Below are 19,791 nucleotides of genomic sequence, written 5' to 3'. Positions count from 1 at the left end.
AGTGAAAAAAGTTTCATTTTTATTTTATTCAGTTAATATAACTATTTTATTGTTGACTTATTTAGAAAATAAAGGAAAATTTCAGGACAGAAGCATATTCTCATGAAAACAGAGAAGCTTACACCCATGTAAGGCATTGGCACAGATTTATTCACACTGTTTCTTCAGAGGATCAGGATGCTAAGAAATCCTGGGGTAATTATAGACACGAGAATTATATTGTTCCAACGTATTTCTTTTTTGTTTACTTCAACTTCCCATAAACCTCCCTCAATATTAGACTGTGAGCTTTTTGAGGGTAAGGACTAGATCTTATTTATATGTACATTCCCATTGCCCAGCATAGTGCCCGATACTGAATAAATGCTTGATGAGTGAAGGAGTGAAAAAAATGAATCATCCAACATTCCATTATCACAATTTACTTTGTCTGTTTTGCTGATCTGGGAAAATCACAGAAATGATTATGAAATTTGGCCTTATCCTTTACCCTCCCTTCTTGCCAGACTGGCATCTTCTCTGAATTTGTATGCACATAAAAATCCTTTTATGTTCTGAAAAGCTTGAGGGACTCTGCTCTAGGATTCAGAGATTACCATACACAGGACACTTAATGCTGGTGGGTTCATAAATTCAAAACTGAACCTAATAATTTACTTGTATGGGCTAGTGACAGAGATGGCAATCCAGATGGGACAGTCATGGTTATTCATGAATCAAAGTTGTTCAGTAAATACAGCCCACTTTCAATTTTCAATCATGCTGCATATCATAAGCTAGACATTTCACATATCTCAGTGTCAGTGCTTTCTACATTTAGTCCCTGCTACCATAAAATTTCAAGCTAATGCCATGTAGGTAACCAAAATTTACAAATGGGTGGTTCTAAGCGGATGTTGACAAAATTTCTCAAATATTTGAAAGATACAAATAGATGGATTAATGTCTACATTTGGAATTTCATATTTTTTTTTCTTATTTCTTCAGATGGTCATTTTTGTGAGGTACTGCCATTCTTTCAGGAGGCAGCTGGTTGAAAGGAAAAGACCACCATTTTTCTTTGTACAGTAGAGTTCTCATGTAGCCTAATTGTTACCTTTTAAAATGTCTAAAGATGGATCCACTCAGAAACAGAAAGGGATAAAATTGCTAAATTGTCCTCAAGCCCCTTACCATTGATCACTTTGTCTGGCTGTCATCATTCTGACCTTGTCTTTTGCAAAACTATTCTTAGCATCTTAATTGCCATGACCATTCTATTAGATAAAGCAATTCATCAATTTAATAACAAAAATCAATCACTATTTGATTTGAATTGTTTCATGTACTTGAAAGTGTTGGGTTAGTTAAAAATGAAAAGTTTAAGTCAAAATGCTTGGTTTATTATTTCTTAAACCAATTAAGATGTAATGGAAGCTTCCTTGCGAAAGGCCAAAATGCCAAGTGTAAGTAGATTACTGACAAATGCTACCAGGGGAAGCCTCTGACTGAGATCCTTACTGCTGTTCTGCAGGACTGCATCAGGGAAAAGATTATCAAAACCAAGTTATCAGCAAAAGGAGCTACCAGAAGTTAGGATCAAGACCCTAGTTGAGGATTGAAGCAAAATACAAAAATTCAAGAAAGCAGAAATAGTCTCCCTTGCTAGACTGCAAACTTCATAAGGTCAGGAACTCAGTTGTATTTATTGTTTCAGCCTGAATATTGCATCAAAACATAGCAGGTATTTAATAAATACTAGTTAAATAAATAATAAATGAGATTCAAATGAAACATACAGAAAGCCAGGTCAGGGAAATGTGAGATGAAATTTGACTGCCAACTTAGGGTCAGAATCAGAGTCAGGCTGCAGCCAAATCAGGAGAACCTGCAGTCAGAAGTGGGAAGGGAGAGCCTAATGATAGCAACTTGCAGGAGGGAGATCAGGTAAGGCTGTTAGAGATTTAAGGCCTTTACTGCCCTTAATGATGCCGTCTTCTCTCCAAATGACTCTTGCTCAAGTGTAGCTTCCCTCAATTAGTAGAGAAGAAAATACAAAGATTTCAGAGACAAGTGAATCACAAATAGGTTCCAGTTTGATTATTTATTAAGGAAAATGCATTGAGGTGTTACTAGTTAACACCACGCTATGTATTCCAGGGATACAGTCATCAATTTCAAAGTGGAACATGGGTATGGACTTGACAGAAAACATATTCTAGAAGGAAATAAATCTGTGTACATGACTTCAGAAATGATATCTTGTTTCTAATTTACCTGCTCTATAATACCTGGTACATCAAGGGAAACACCATGTTAAAGTCTCAATTTGACTTCTTTTCACTCTTTTTGAGGCTAAAAGAGTTTTCTGCAGTGGCTAATTATACTCACATTATAATATGTGGTGCAAAAATATATTCAGATGTTGAATTTTGCTCTTAACCATTTCTGATACCAACACTGGAGAGCTGTGATTCTCAACACAAGAATGAATACCAAAACCTGTTGGTGTCCTGACAAAATACAGGAAATTCCACATCAAGTAAGGTGCTGATGGGCTGAGAGCTCTGAAATGACGTTCCCTTGCCCTCAAACTATTTCCACCAACCATTCTTTAGAAGCAGTGGCATTATTAAGGTTACTAAATGTCTACAACTTGAAGTTACTAATTGACAACATAAGGGATATTGATTATTTATTTGATTGTGGAAGTTATCACCAATAACCTGTAAACCAAACAGGCACTTTTCCCTCTTTATCTCACTTGATCTCTTGGCAGCATTAAGCATAGTTGACCAGTTCCCTCTTTTTGGTCAACTCCTTTAACTTTTTTTATTCATACGTGGTATTCCTGCTACAAAACTGATTTATTCTTGCCAGCCTCCTTGCTGATTCTTCCTCTTCAGCTCAACTTCTAAATGCTGAGTGTGCCAGGACACAGCAGGACCCTCCTCATTCCCCTCTGCTCTTGTTCTCTCCTCTTCTCTTGAAATTTTGTCCTCAGATGCTTTCCTATGGTAGCATGGATTTAAATACCACTTCTATAATGGCCATCTCTATGTTTTCAGCCCTGTTCTCTCAATTTGACTCCAAACTGGCATGTTCTACTGCCTATCTGACTTACCCTCTTAGATGCCTCTAATAGGCATCAAAAATTCAATGTGATTAAATAGAACTCTTGATTTCCTAGCTTCAAATCTGTTCTTTGTTCAGTTTCCTTCATTTTTTTTTTTTTTTGTAAATGGCACAATTTACCTATGTGTCCAAGCCAGATATGCAGGAATCATCATTTCTCTTTCCTCCACATCAGATCAATCAGCAAATCCTGCCAGCCCTGCCTCTAAAATACATCTGCTTCTCTCCCACTCCACTGCTTTGGCTGAAGTCTAGGTCACCATCATTTCTTGCTTGGATTATTGTGATAACTCTTAACTTCAATTCTCTGACCTTTCTTTCCTCTCCCTTTCATTCTTCATATAAGAGCAGCCAGAGTGATTAAAAAAAAGAAAAACATAAATCGGACATTGTGACTTCCCTCCTTAAATTGTCTCAATGGCTTTCTACTGCACTTCAAATAAAAGACAAACTTTTTTTCATAACCCATATATCTATACATATCTTGTCTCTACCCAACCCTCAAACTATTTTAATTTCCCAGTGCTTCACTTTCTTTCTGTTCTCACAGGAACCAGGTTTGCTATACCTTTGACCCTCTATGTGTATTGTTATCAGAGTTTATCTTATTACTTATGTGTTTCCTTGATTTTTAAAAAAAATGTTTTCCCCCATTAGGATGTAACATTCATAAGATCAGAACCTTATCTATCTTATTGATGTTCTGATTCAGGAAAAATAAGAGGGGCAGCTGAAAACACTGTCTTCTCTAGTTTCAAAGTGGTTCATAGTTAATGCTTTTGTAGTAGCTTGCTGTTTTAGATTTTGCATGTGAAGTTAAAATTATGGCTAGAAAAGTGACTCATAGGACTGATATTATAAGTACATAAAATGTGAAATTGATCATTTTGGTTTTGATGACAAATGCCCTTGTTTCAATATTTGTTTTATTGTCACCATGCTCTGAATTCGACCATCAGTAAATATAGGTAGAATTGTGGTAGGGATAGAGTGAAAAAGAGGGATAAAAGTAAACAAAATTGTTAAGCTTTATGGGTTCATTATATTTTAGTAATAATTAGGGAAATCTTTTACTAAGTGACATTTTTGATAGAGAAAAATAAGTGGGGAGAAGAGGAGAGCAGTAAGTTCCAGATGTGTTTGGTGAAGGACAGAGGCAGAACTCTCTTTCGAGGGAAAAAGAATACAGAAAAGAGAGGAAAAGAGAGATCCTGATAGCTTCACCTATATCATATTTAGTGTTAAATCTACATGCAGCTATTCAGTTATGAAACAGTATAAATCAAAAATAGTCTTCACTGAATATACTTAAAATAACAGTTAATGTCATGTTTAGCCAAAGTTTTCATTATGTTCTGTTTATAAAAAGTAAAGAATTTCACAATTAATGAGATGTTGATTTTTATTTTCTGGTAACAAGATGCCATATTTTGAAACTACAATTTATAATGCGCTATGAAATAGAATAGTTACTATGTCCATGAATTCTGTCCCGGTTTGTTTGTATAAAGTCATTGTCAGAATTTTCGTTGATTTATTTTAATTCAAAAATGTCATTGTGATGATTATTTCAGAATTTGATTCATCCTTGTTAACTTTCTGTTTTCAAATATATTCCATTTTTGCTTGCAATAAGTTATTTTGAATGAAGCTGATCTAGTGAAAACATTGTGCTCTGATGGTCTTGACTGTCACTCTTGAGTAATCTTGATCTTAACCTCCAGTTAAGCCTTCATTATCAGCATTCCATAAAATCTCTCTCATCAAGGTTACTTATGGTCTCCACATTGCTGAATCCATCTGGCAATCTCAGGTCTCATCTTTCTGAATTCCCCAGCAGCATTTGACAGCATGGAACATTCTCTCCATTTTGAAATTCTTCTCTTGGCTTCTGAATTTCTTCAGTGTCTCCTCCTTAGTTTCTTCAGCCAGACCCTCTCCTCTCCTTTATTGAGTTCCAAATTGTGGGCCACCCCAGAGCTCAATTCTCAGGCACCTTCTTTACCAAATATTCAGTGATCTTAGCTGGTATATGCATACAAACTATTTATAACCTTATGATTTCCCATAGTTATAGTTCCATCCCCAGTCTTCCTCTTAACTTAAGACCTGCTTGAGAACTCTTTTTAGAAATAAAAAAAGTTCCTAAAATTTAAAACACCCGAAACAGAATCCTTGATTTTCACTCTAAAACCCACTCTTCTTTGTGAGTTCCTCATCTCTGTGAATGACAATGCCATTTACCTAGTTTCTTGGGTCAAATATCTCTGCAATTATCTTTGTCTCATCTTTTTCATAGCCTACATGTAATTTATTGTCAAATTCTGTCTCACCTCAATTCAAAATATATTTTAAAAGGTCCACTTCTTATCAACTCCACTGCTACCACTCTAGTTGAAAGCAACCTCATTGTCACTGAGGTTGGAACAGCTGCCCCTCTGCTCTTCTGTCTGAGGCCCTCCCCAGGGTCTATTATCTACCTTCCAGATTGAGAGAGGCTTTAAATATGTCAGATCTTGACTTGTCCCTCCCAGTTTGAAATACTTTATGACTTCTTATACTTTGGATGAAATCTGAACTTCTTTCTATGGTTCCTAAGGCCCCAGAAACCTGTTCCTTGTCCTGCTAATCTCTTCATCATCATCCTGCTCCCACTCTCCCTGTGCTCCCTACTCTCACCAAAATCATTCACTTCCTATTCTTTGAAGAAGTCCAGCACGCTAGTACTTCAGAGCTCCTGGGCTTGCCGTTCTCTCTGCCGTCTCTCATTACATCATGTCTCTACTCACATGTCGCAACCACAGAAAGGTTGATTTCTCAAACCTCTATAAAATATCAGACTCTCTCTCTTTACCTTCTTGCCCTATTTTTTCTACATAGTCTGTATCATCAACTGAAATTGTATCTCATATTTTTTTTAAAAAATCATGCGCTTATTTCTTAGCTTGTTGATTGTGTGCCTTCCCTACTACAATACAAGCTTCAGAAGAGCAGGGACTTTGTTTTGCTCATTGGTTTGTTCCTGGCATTTAGCTCATTGTCTGGTACTTAATAGGTCTACATAAATATTTATTGAATTAAAGAATGAATGATTTATATTTAGGAAGAGAAGAATTGTGCACATGTGATCTTTGCAGGACCTCACAGAGAGATGTCAACACGGTGAATCATAATGGTTATCTGAGTGTCATGCTATTAGGGCAGGTATAAAAAAAGCTTGAGGGTGACTGGCTATATAAGGGGAACATCCCTTTGAGATATAGGAGCCTGGGTTGTCACTCTTCCGTGCACCAGAATATACTTTGTGGCTTTCTGAAAGGTATGCACACCAGACGTCTGCCCCAGATGTTCCGATTCAGAGGTTTAGAGTGAATTCACACTAATGTAGTTCTTTTCAGTTGAAGTCCCCAAAAGCAGAGCTTGAGATAGGGATTTTGGTGCATATTATTTACTGTGAGGATGCTTACAGGTTTAAAAAGGGAGGAACTCAGAATGGGGAGCTGAGCAAGAATGTGGTTCCAGGAAATCTGGCTTTGGCCTGATGCACGCAGCAAGGCTCTGTATCATAAACTACACCATAAAGTTCTTTCCTCCTTGAGGTAAGAGACAAGTATCAGTCAGTCATTGATCTTAGGCTGACTAAGTGTGGCGAGGTCACTTTCCAAGCAATGTAGCTCTCCTCAGTGGAGGGCAATTATCTATAGTGGGAGCTGAGAACCATTAGCAGTCAACACTCACAGCAGTTGGAGGAGGCACGTGTCCCTCCTCCATAGAGAAGGGAAACTGGACAAACCACCACAGTGTCTTCTACGGTTGGATAGAAAGGGGCTAATTGTGCCACACAAACATTTATTCATTCAACATATTTATTGTGGTCAGTTATGGGCCAAATATATATATTATCATTTGCTGAGATTTAATGATGAACAAACATGGTCCCTGAAGCATGGATTGGGAGAAACAGAAATATTCATCACATTAAACATGCAATCATAATGAGATACTAAATTATCATTCCAAATAATTAATTGAAGCAAGATTGTAGAAATAAGTCCATGATATTGTATAAGTAGGTAATGGTTTCCCATAAATTGTTCTTGCTGTAACTCTTAGAAAGATTGTATAAATTTTTTTATCATAGAAATCATTATTTAATGCCAGCTGTATGTTAATCAAATAATTGTTGGGCATTATTTGAAAACTCAAATAGAATTAAAAATATGTTTCAGCCTGGAAACCATGTTAGTATACAAGTCCTATACTTGATCATTGTTCAAGACACAAGATGATTTTCTCTTAATGGGAACTGAAGCAGAGGAAAAGTAAGAATAAATTTTTTTAAATGCAACTAAAGTCTTGGGTCAGATGCTAATTCTTTTTTTCTTTTAGACATTATCCCCCTAATTCCTCTCCATGACTGGCCAAGCAAGGCAAGAACAAGAACAAGAGCTGTGTGAGAAGCCAAACCTTGTTATCATAAAATATTCATGTTCACAGACTACTCACAATCTGCTATTCTCTGCGGAGGCTAAAATTTCATTGATGTTATTCATTTGATATGAAATGTTCACCATTATAAGGCTGGAATAACTATGTTTAAAAATAGCAACATTTAAGGGACCAAAAAAACTATCTGAATACATAGATACAATACAGATCATTAAATTCCAAGCAAAATTTGATAATTCAGCACTGAGGGTAAGAGATACCAATAAAGTACAAAAGGAAAACTTGTATTTATACATTAAATTATTAGAAAGGAAGACACAAAAACTTTTAAAATGACCAGTAAATTGGATACAATTAAATATCTACCTGTAGCTCCTGCTTTTGTCTAAAACTCTATTTCATCTTTTAAAAACATCTTTGCATAGTGCTACGGAAGCTACTGTACTGAAAAATAAACCAGTTAATGAGCAACATAACACATCCCAGTAAAATAGTATTTCTTAGTTTCTTTAACATAGAGCAAAATTTCTAAGAAATTCTGTTGAAATTCTGAGGTGTCACCAAAACCTCTCTTTAGGAGAATGTGATGTCAGAAGAAACAATAAGGCTTATTTTCAATCATTCTGTTCATACCTCAAATCCCTGTGGTCTTCCTAGACTCTCTTTAATGTGTTTCCATGCAACAAGAATCTCTGACACAGACACACTTGTCGCCTTGACATCTGTGGGAGCAGCACTGGGTTCTGTATGAAGGAAAATAAACCACAATTATAAAAAGTTTATGTCCATCAAAGTATTGCGCCTGAGTCTGTCAGGTGTTAAATTCCTCTTACCTTATTTTTGAAATGAAGTGCTGTGGTAGTTATAAAAAACACAACAAAATATAAAGGTGATCCTTTTGGATTTCTATACTTGGGTCAAATCTCATCAATACCTTACCAATGACAAATGACAAATCTAGCAAGACAGGCAAAGACATTAATCCTTGGATTAGCTAAGACATTTCTGGGGAACTTAAATTTTCTGCCAGTCTAGCATAATTCCTATAAAAATGGACTATGGAGTCAGTGTTTGCTTTTTTTTGTTGTTGCACTGCTGTTGCTTTTGGCCTTAAAACATTTATTTAGCTATTTATTTACCTTTGGGTAAGTTGTTTTATCTCTTTCTAAGCCCTAGTTCCCTCATCTATAACATGACTATAATGAGAGTATTTATCTCATAGATTTAAAGGTTGGCTTTAATTAGAATGTATATATAAAATATTTAGTACTGTGCTTGGCGTTAAAAATGTTCATTCACAAAATACCATATTATTATTATTTTATTTTTTATTCTGTGCATCTAAATTTTTATTCTGTGTATCTAAATTTCATTAGATACTTTTTGTTGTTCCAACCACAAGACTACATTTTCATGATTATATAAGGAATATGTTATGAATCATGATATTTAAAAGGCATGCATTGACTTTTAAGACAGGTGCAGGTGGGAAAGAAAAGTCCCCGAAGGGTTCAGTGCCGTGGCTCAAAACCACCTTTTCATTTGTTTCTACATTCAGTGACCTTTCACACTATTTTTTTTTTTTGAAATACACAATTTCTGACTGGCATCCATCAAAAGGTGTACTTTATTCGAGGCTGCACTTGATGTGAGGAACAAAATATTTCTAGTGTTGACATGGCTGAATCATAAATACTGTGTCACAAACACAAGTTAAATGAAATGGCAGAATAAAGGCCATACATTAGTTCAAACAGTTCTGTACAAAGTCTATTAAAATTCTACCCCATAAAAATGGTACAGATTTTGGTACTAACCCTTTATCACTGATTAGAGTTGAGCTTCATCTATGAATTTTTTTTTTCAATTTATGGAACCATATAGCAAAGATTGAGTTCTAAATAAAAATGTTAAGAGGCGAACATTGAAGACATAATCATTTTCTGAGGTCTTTCCTTTTCTGAAAGAAGCTAGTCATACATGTGTCTGGAACGCTTTTATATATTATTAATTGAAATATATCAGTCAAAAATATCTACCCTGTTACTGCAAAAGGAGCCTGCAAAAGACTTGGTTGGTCCACCTTTGCACCAAGCAATGATTTTCTTTTGGCCAAACCTTTGTTAAAAACACTTGCTATAATTGTGTCATCTCAAAGTGCTTTGGCAAATTCACATTAATTTTTACACAGAAGCTGACATTAATTCCTGCCATGGTATAAGTTGAAATTTCTCATTCTGTCACCTTTTGAATATTTTTTATTATTTTCTTTTGCTCCGTGGTTTCCCTCATCTCACTTTCCAACTCCCTATTATTTGTGCATCTGTCCAATTTAAAACATGCATTCTGGAAAAATCTTCTATCTTATTCTAGAATTCTGATTACCAGACTTGCAATGGACATTTTCCCCATGCTATTTAGTGGGAGTTAAAATTCTTGATTTTGCAAGTAAATGAAAGAATGTTGATGTTTCTGAGGTGTGTACAACTTGATCTCTGGGATTTAGGATACAGTTTATTTGAAAGGAAACCACACTTTGAATATCGTTTGCTATTCCGTAGCAGTTTTACTTCTCTTCAGAATAAATGCATTACAGAGATTTGTGTGCCAAATGCCTTCTTTCAGCTTTTATATTGCTGAAGCAATTACATCTTTGTCAAAGAAGATTGCAGGGGGATAAATAATTTCAGAAGCACAAAACATGTGGTGGGGTAGCAACCTTTCCATATCTCTTTATCTCCAAAGAAAGGAATTATTTCTCTATCAACTTTCAGTAGTACTGTACAAGTTTAAGTATTTCTCAAATAGAAAGTTTAAAAAAATGTTAAAGTAAATAAAAATGTTCAGGAACCTGCCTCTCAAACAAGCACCTTAACTTTTATTTAAAAGCTCTAAGGATTTTAAATCAGGGTCATACCACACCTACATTTCACATTTGCATTTTGGGGAGCTGCATGTTATAATTTCATATAACTGAATGACAGTGAATCAATCAAACAAGAACTGAAGAATCATTTTAATTTTTTTTCACCCTCTTAATCTAATCAAGTGTGTCCAGCCTTGGCCCAGGACAGCTTTGAATGTGCCCCCCCCAAAATTTGTGAACTTCTTAAAGCGTTACGAGATTTTTTTTGTAATTTTTTTTTTTTTTTTTAGCTAATCAGCTATCGTTAGTATTAGTGTATTTTATGTGTGGTCCAAAACAATTCTTCTTCTTCCAGTGTGGCCCAGGGAAGCCAAAGATTGAACATCCCTGAATGGTATCAGAAGTTGATCTATGTTGACCTGAATTAGACATTTCAGCATGTAAAAATAGTGACCTCTGTCAGATTTTCCCAGAAATTTTAGTATGTACTATTTATACCCAAGTGAACATTTTCAACTGGGTCAAAAATTGGTCTGCAGACACAAGTAGCTAACTGGATCACAGAACATCTGGCTTGCATTGAAACTGGCCATTCGCTTTGGGCATCCCATTGTAACTGAATGATGGAAAGTTGCAAATGGAAAGGACTCTAGAAGTCACTTGGCTCCAAAGTCACAAATGCAGGGGCAGTGGGTCTTTAGTCATATTTTGTTTGTCTACATCATGTGTTAGATTAATTTAAGCCAACATTTGAAAATAAGAATTTCTGGCTTCTTTTGGGGGATAAAAGGAGACAGTATGAAGCCTGAATTCTTGAGTGTTGGCCGATGAGGGTTAGTGGTGGACTCCCTCAGTCTGGGCATGTGCTTCTACATATGCCAGAGTTCCTCCCACTCACAATTGTCTCACACAAGGAGTACTTTATTGTTTTTATTTCTTACCTCACTCCTATGTGCTTTGGAGTAATGGACCTGTTTTAAATCCATGCTCTCATTTTGCAGATTAGAAAAGTAAAACGTACAGAGGTTAATTTATCCAGACTCTACTTTCAGCTGTGAAAAAGCTAGAACTTGGGTCTCAAATGCTCTTTCCTCTGTTTTTAAATTGGCATAAAGAAAGAGGCTGGCTCATTCTTCATCTCCTAGGGTCCATTTTAAGTCACAGAATAAGTTTTACAGAAAACATAGATAGTTCCCTCTTTTGTTGCCTGGTTGCTTCCAAATAACTGACAGAGGAATGGATAGAATAAGATTAGAAGTAAACAAAAAAGAGGCAAAATAGATGTGGGGATAACTCGAAATACTAATAATTGCCATTTATTGAGGCTCTGCTGTGTTCCAAACCCTGTTCTTAATTCTTTCCATGTCTTAGTCTTCCCAACAACCATATTACTACTACTAGCATTTTTCAGATGAAGAAATCAAGCAGAAGAGAGGTTAAGCTACTTACTCAAGATCCCACAGCTGCTTAAATGTGGAGGGAGGATTTGAATACAGGTAGTCAGGCCCTGAGCACTACACTGTTCTGCTTCTGTGCCTATGTCTATGTTACACTTACCTGATGCTTTTTCCTTTTCTATTTCTCTCTTTCCCCTTGCCACTCCACATCTAACTTCTCTCAAGAATGTTTGTGTTGGGCTCCCCATTTGGGCTATTTCTAGATCTTGCCAGAAACCATCTAGACCCCCGTCATCACCCACTTAACCCTGCCACAGGCTCACTATTAACTCCTTTGATTCCTGTTTCACTGACTCCTTGGTAATTTTGAACCATAGCTGCACAGCTCCTTCTCAGTCATGTCACATTCAGGCATCTCTAAAACTCTTCTGATCTCTAAATCACAGTATGTTTTCTGCCACTCTCACTCCCATCTATTACACTGGGGTAATTTAATAAAAGTTTAGAAACTTATTTCTGAGACTGTACTAGCATTATATCTAGTGGAATCAAAGACTTAGAGGGAAACCTCTTTTTTTTTCTGTTACTTGTGATGATATTAATTAGGCCATGGCTAACTCCTTCACTGTAATCTTGGGATATGTAGTGGACAGGTTGATTGATACGTTTGTTTCTGATAGATTAAAAATGTTGAACAGCATTACCGTGTTCATGAATTTCGATGATACATTTGTATTAAGTGACCTAGCAGCTGGAGTTCTTCATGTAATATGGGGGTATGTGCTTGTAATATTGATTATACATCTGACTTTCCAAGAGATCCCTTCCCAAGAGACCCTTAGAGCAACAGCATTAATCAAAAGAGACTTTAATAAACTCCTTGAGAGAAAGGGTATGGTTTCATTATTTAAAAATTCAGTGAAGACAGCTGTAGTTGAACTTTTATAGGCACTAATCCAAATAGATCATCTGGAAAAGACAGGAAATTATTTCTTGTATTTTACAACTAACATGTCAATTTATTAATTTTCAAGTTCACATAAATCCCAGTGAGCTCAGTTTCAGCTAAGGATGGATCTGGAGAATAACACCTTAGGAATATTAGGTTTTAATTTGAGCTGTGGTAGCTCCACTTGCAATGAGATAATTGTCTATTATATTCTGCAAATGAGGACAGGCTTTTTAGGTTTAATAAATATATGAGCAGGACATTTTTTTACAGATAAGGCAAAAGCCAAGAAAACTAGAAAGGATAAAGGATAAAGGATAAAGCGCATCACAAGTAAATAAATCTTTCAACCTATAATTAACTGTATCAATTTTTCTTCTGTTTTTCTATTAGGTTTAATTGAATGCTCCAGTTCTTTTCATTTCCGAAGTTATGGTGAGAAGAACTAAGTGGAAAATGGTATGTTTGAGTATTCATTATTTCTTGAAATGTGGAAGAAAAAGCCAATTTAATTTTTTATCTTGGAAAAAAATTAATTTTTATCAGTTTTACCATGCATTTTGAGAACTTATTTTGAAACTTCACTATTCTTTTTTTTTAAAAATGGAATTGTTTCCAAAATTAGCGTGTTGTATAGAATTATATCATACCCTAGAGGTCTGAAGTCAGGATTAGGAATGCACATAAACCTTGCTCGGTTTAAAGGACAAAGATATTTGACACATGTACAGGGTACATGGATATCTTGGCAGGCAAATATCTCTTTTTCCAGGGCTTATGTCAGATGCTGCTTGGCACTGACAGAGTCATTAAGGTTTGCTTCTCTTGTGGCAACATTGAAAGGTTTCAAAGGCTTACGGGTGTTAGCAGAAAAACCATTTGAAACTTTTTCTGACAGTACTCTAGGGCAATAGTAAACCTCAGAGTTGTGAGAGTTAAGGTCATATCCCAAGTGATTTATTGATCAAGCATCAACATTTGCAAATGATTTTTTCTTTGAAAAACATGTCAATTCAAGGTTTTCTCTAAAATAATTAATTTTATTTGCATTCTGATACGCTTTATTGGGAGGAAAAGAAAGGGATAGAGTGGAGAATGCACATACACACTTATAAAAGCATGTTCTGGGTATGAATGTCATCTATTATCCATGTTCCATTGGGAAATAGGTTGAGAAGTAGTACTGTAAGGTGTGCCTTGTAAGTTTTTCTGTTCTCTGCTTCCCTCCCAATAACATAAATTCTGGTAGCTGCATTTGACATTTTTCTTCCCAGCTTGGTGTCGGCTGTGAAAAGGTGGCTTTTTCACAGTGCTTAAGGCATGTATCTGGTAAGCTTGAAAGGAAGAGGAGGAACTAAGCCCATAAACAGAAATAGTAAGGCAGTCTCACTCCTCTTGTTCTTTACTGTATCTAAGAATGTGGAGGAATTTCAAGGTGATAAACAAGTGGATTGGGTTAATGGAAGAATAAGGAAGCAGGATTTGTCTTTTGGAGAAATACAATTTCGCTCAGATTAGTTGGGCTTTGGGCAAGAGTATAATGATAAAAGACACACTGTGAAGCTGTATGAACATCCATAGACACTGAGGGGAGAAACCTGCACTGGCAAGAGTATAATATATTATTTTACAAGTTTATTTCAGGCCTTTACTCTTTTTTAAAATGGTTTAATTTTTGAAATGCTCACTCCTTTTTAAGTAAAGCAAATTGCGAAGTGACTAAAAAAGAATGTTGATTTTCCCTTTTTATTGTATAGCAAAAGTTGATCTATTATTGCTATCTATGTTAGGACAATTGTTACAAAGAATGTTTTATTTTAATCCACTTATTATTATTATTATTTTTTGAGACAAGGTCTCACTCTTTCACTCAGTTTGCAATGTAGTGAAGCCATCATTGCCATAGCCCACTGCAGCCTCAAATTCCTGGGCTCAAGCAATCCTCCTGCCTCAACCTCCCAATGTGTTGGGATTATAGGCATAAGCCACTGCTCCAGCTAAAATAATGTTTTAGAATATAGAATAAATTGACAGGGTTTTAATTTTAGATTTGTATAGGATTCCAGAGATGTTCTATTTTGAGACCTTCATTTTTAAAGTGGAGGAAGCTAAGCCTCAGAGAGGTGAATAAACTGCCCAAGATGGTCTAGTTAGTGTGATCAGATTTGAGCTCAGGTTAATGCTTTTCTTTTCCCTTGTCCTGCCTTTCTTGGTTGACACACTCTAATGATGCTAACACTTTACTCATATTTACATATAAAGTTCCACATTTGTAAACTTAATTAGTAAGCGAATGCCAAATATATGCTTGAATTTCAGTGTCAGAACAAAGGACTCTATCCAGATTTAATTTGCCTAATATATTTCATATTTCAGTTGATTAAAATAAATGAAGTGTTACATTACTATGAAATATGTTACAGGAATAACCTCAGTGTCTTTAAAAGAAAATATGCATATTTTCTATCTAGCTTGAAAGAGAAATTTCCAAAGGCAAGCCATTTCAAGTTTAAGAAAACACAATGTAAAAAAACCCATGGTGGCTGCTATAAATTAATTTCAAAGCAAAGATTGACAAAGAAATTACAAAGCTGAATTTCTTAAAGGCAGCACTGTTGTTACTATACAAAGCGTGTTCAAAAACTTCTCCAATTAATCTCTCATGCGACCTTTGGTGCTATGTAATTGATAATTAGTTTCCAACATTTTAAAAGGAAAAAGAATATGTACTTTCTGAATAACACATATACTTCAAAATAGATCTTTTGAGCAATAAATAATAGAAAATATCACTATTGTGTACATTCCTGATGAGGCAGTATAGTGTAGTAGTTAAAAAATGTGCTTTCCAGTCATATAGACCTGGTTAAAATCCTAGCTCTGTCACTTACTATCATTTCTTGTAACTGTCACTTACTGGTGTGAATTTGAGCATGTTACTTAACCTCTCTGAGACTCAGTTTCCTGAAATGTAGATTAAGGTTTGAGATTCCAATTTCATATTTGGTTTTAACCTTTACATTAGATAACATAAGTAACATGGTATATGGACTTTATCTGAAAACACATCAGAAATCTGAGATGCTAAGTGCAATTGGTATCTCATCAGAATACCTCTAGTTCCTTGCCATTACTTGATTTTTCACTTCCCTGGTTATTCTTATGCTAAGATAAACTTTCTGATTCTGCTTTAAAATTTGGCTCTATATTATAAAAATATGAGGCAGCTTACTATTGAAAAACTACATCTTCCTTAAATCAAACATTATCTTTGTTTTTAAATATTCACATGACTATATTTATATCCCCCGTGAAGCTCATAGCTTCATGGGGGGATATAATAATTAATTATGAATAATACTCTTGAGCTGTTCAAGTCCTACATGTGGGCACAGAGGAAGTATAAGGGTTAGTTTATATTTACCACACTTATTGGTATGGGGAAAGTGAATGCTGCCTTTGGTAGAACATTTTCTCAGTCATTTGTAAATTTAAGAAACATAAGGCTGTCTTTTCCTTTTCTCATTTTTTTCCCCCACTTGTAAGGTTAACTGAAATCCTGAATTTGAATAAAAGAAGGACTAAGAGGAAAAGCTAACTTTAGGGGGCTAGATCTATTATTATACTTTCACCCAGAAAATTGCATTTTTATATTAAAACTTGAAATAATTCAGTATCTTTGATGTAGGAAGCAGGGTTTCCACTGTAGCTCTATCATGTATTGAGTATAACCACTTTACAGTTTACTCATCTGTAAAATAGGTATATTGTCTACTCGGTACTGCCTACCTATGAGTTCTATCTTGTGAATTAAACATGGTCATGCATATGAAGGCAGCAAGTTATACAAAAATCAAGGAGTTAGTGGTTAGACAAACCTGGATTTAATTCTCAGTTACAAGCAGTGTAACCTTTAGCACGTTCTTTAACTTTTCCGAAAGTCAATTTCTCTTTCTACATAACGGAGGCAATAATGTCTATTTCATAAGATTTCCATAGGATTTAATGATGTGTTTGAAAAGGTTCCAAGAAAAAGCCCTGTCTGAAACTTCCTTATTAGTACAGTGCTTTATGCATAGGGTTAGAAATAAATATTTATTTGTCACATAAATGAAGCATTTATTTAAATCTACTTTACATATATATTGAAAAATATAAAAGTATCTAAATTTCAAACCAAAGAGGATTGGCTTAATGTCCACCCAGAGAAAGGAATACACTGCAGGGATTACTGATATTGTTGTTTTCATGGATATATGTTTGCCATATATTGTTAGGATGTGAAAAACTTAAAGCAACATATGTGGAATAATCAACTTTTAATTTAAAAAATTAAAAAAAGTTTGGGAAATATATATCCAAAAAGTTTAGTGAGATTATGAATGAGTTTATTTTGCCTTATTTGTATTTTCTAATATGTGTACAAAGGTGTCTGATTATTTGTATAACAAAGTAAAATGTTAAATAAAAATAATAGGAATAAAAAAACTGACCTCCTTCAGCTGAACAGATGACCACAATTTGACTAAAAGGCCCATCTCCTTTATTGTTATAAACGCCAACTTTCACTTCAAAGGGAGTAAGAGGAGGGACACTTTCATCTCGATAAATGAATTTGGAAGCTTCAGAGGATGTCACCATTTTTTCCTTCCAGCCACGTGTTCCATTGGGTCTGAAAGCCACAATATAGCCGAAGCCTTCCCCATTCTGAAACTCTTCAGATACTGGCTAAAGAAGAAAAATATAATTAATTATCAGCAAAATGATTGATTAAAAATCCACTTTCTCCAAATTCTTAATTAAAAAAAATTATAGATAGCTAGAGAAAGGGAGAATCTCAAATCTTTATACTACATTGGAAGCCAAAATAGTACAATCACTTTGGCACTTCTTTGAAAGTTAAAAAGCTTTAAAGGTAAAAGAAGAAAAATTGTATCAGTTGAAATGTACAAAAACTCTCAAGAGAATTGAAAACTTTTGAAGTGAAACAAATTTGCTCCAATTAGTCATGTATATGAAATGAAGATCTTTGGATTAACATGTTGGGGAAAATTGTCCTATGGTCTGGTGGTCGGGAATATCTTGTCACTGGTAATGCTCTGCAGAACCCTTTAGACCACAAAAGTAAGATATAATGATGTTAAAACCTTTTTTGTAGTGTGCTTTGCAATTGCTTTTATGGTTACTGACATGAAAAAGTTGGACTATGGTATTCAAGAAGCTTCTTGTGCTATATGGCTTAGATTTAAATTGGTTACATGGGCTTCAACTGCACACCATAGAAAGGAGTAATTGTGATTGACCAGTCAATGTGGAAAAGTTACCAGCCACTGTCTAGCACAGTGCTTCACACACACTAGATACTCAATAAATATTTGCTAAGTAGTTTTTTTCCTTGAATTTTGATATGAAGAAAAGCCATGTATTGAGTGGTGGCAAAGAAACAAAGCCCGTTATATTAAAGCTTACATGGAAAGGCAATTCCATTTAGAGAGATCTGGTCTCAGTGAAGGTCAGCTATTGGAAAGTTAATACCTCTGTAGACATCAAAAAAATATATGAAGTTTTATCGAAGAAAAGGGGGAATGGACAAAAAAAATAGGACAGATTATGTGCTCATGGAATAATTCTTACTGGAAAAAGAGATCTCTGTATACTTTCTCATTGTTCTTAGAGATTGTCAAGGAGTTGCTCTATTTACTCTAACAGGCATTTCCATTTCTATATATTCTAAGATCTCTGTGAGCTATTTACATTTAATAATAAGGTTATTTAACATCAAAAAAGGAAGGTGGCTTCATGGAAAATAAATGTATTCTTCACACCCCCTCCCCCTTCATCTCCACTCTTTTTCCTTGACAAATGATACTTTGGAGGCATATGATGAGATAGATAAAATGACACAAATTTTGTAATCAAAGTCACAATTCTGTTTATTAGGAAAATATGTAACAGTGCCTCAGTTTCATGATTTGTAAAATGAAGAAAATCATTCCAACTGATAAGATTGTTGTATGGGTTAAATGAGATAACCAGGGTAACGTGGCATTTATTCAGCAGTGGTTCATTCCTTCCTCCCACTGTTTTTAGCCTCTAAATGAATCAAGTGGACTGCTTAATCATAAAATAATTAAATATCACACTAAGCCAAACAAACACGTGGAGTAATTTGTGAGAGGATGTGTTTTTCTTACCTCCCAGGCAATGACTAACTCATGCCTTCTTCCACTTCTTCCGCTTACATTGGTGGGTGCTGTCTTCGGAACTGTGGATAAAAATGGGTGGAGAGTGAGGAGAAAAAAACTCCCAACCTACGTTGGATAAAATCCTGAGATAAGTCAGAAGTTTGTTTGAAGTCAGAATGGTCATATTAAAGATTAAAACAAAATATTGGTGACAGAAACACCCTGCTTTCAAATCTATGTGGCAGATTTTGATACACTTTTTTTTTCATGACCACTTATTGCACCATGCCTCTTGAAAATGCTCTGTGGTAGTGATTTCTAAATAATAATTAACACTATAGCTAAGAACATCTAATAATGATTAGGTAAATTTTGTCCTTAAAATTGCTCACTGTTATCCTCTTTGCTAATGACGTGACTCTTTTTTGTTATCCCGGGGCTTGCAGAGCCACTGAAAAATCCACAGGTCAAGATTAGCATTACTGCCTTACCAGAACCCCCAGGAAGCTTCAGTACATTTCTTTTGTTGTTGTTAAACCTTAGCAACAATTCCATGGAGTGAGAAACTACTTAAATGAATAAACATTTTAAAAAATCTGTCAAGAATGAATCTCTCTGCAAACTGCAAAATTTATAGGCAACCAGTGAAACTTTTTCAAATGAATAACTATTAAAAGAATAAATGTGTCAAAGGAATAAATTTCCCCTTCATTGCACCAAACCATGAAATCTGCAGTTGAAAGGGAACATTTTCAAATGAAGAACTTTTAAATGAAGAAAACTATTAAAAGAAATCATTTTACAGGCTATGAGCCTGCATTAACAATTTTA

General features: G+C 35.1%; 1 protein-coding gene across 7 annotated transcripts in view; it reads right to left on the bottom strand.

The window, feature by feature from the left end:
• Positions 1 to 19,791, bottom strand: part of CNTN5 (contactin 5) — a 1,337,937-nt gene that overhangs the window by 42,221 nt on the left and 1,275,925 nt on the right. For 6 of the 7 annotated variants that reach the window (XM_017017926.2, NM_014361.4, XM_011542871.2 and 3 more), the window contains 3 exons: positions 18,970 to 19,040; positions 17,269 to 17,503; positions 8,197 to 8,306 (listed from right to left, as the gene is read on the bottom strand). In XM_017017926.2, the coding sequence (XP_016873415.1) occupies positions 8,197 to 8,306; positions 17,269 to 17,503; positions 18,970 to 19,040 (416 nt within the window). Of the gene's footprint in view, positions 1 to 6,962; positions 8,307 to 17,268; positions 17,504 to 18,969; positions 19,041 to 19,791 lie in introns of those variants that run through there. The other variant, NM_001243271.2, reaches the window with a different exon arrangement.

The sequence above is a fragment of the Homo sapiens genome, chromosome 11 (genome assembly GCF_000001405.40).
Source record: "Homo sapiens chromosome 11, GRCh38.p14 Primary Assembly".
In the NCBI taxonomy this organism is placed as follows: domain Eukaryota; kingdom Metazoa; phylum Chordata; class Mammalia; order Primates; family Hominidae; genus Homo; species Homo sapiens.
Note: the sequence above shows the minus strand (reverse complement) of the source record. Positions and strands in the feature narration are given on the sequence as shown.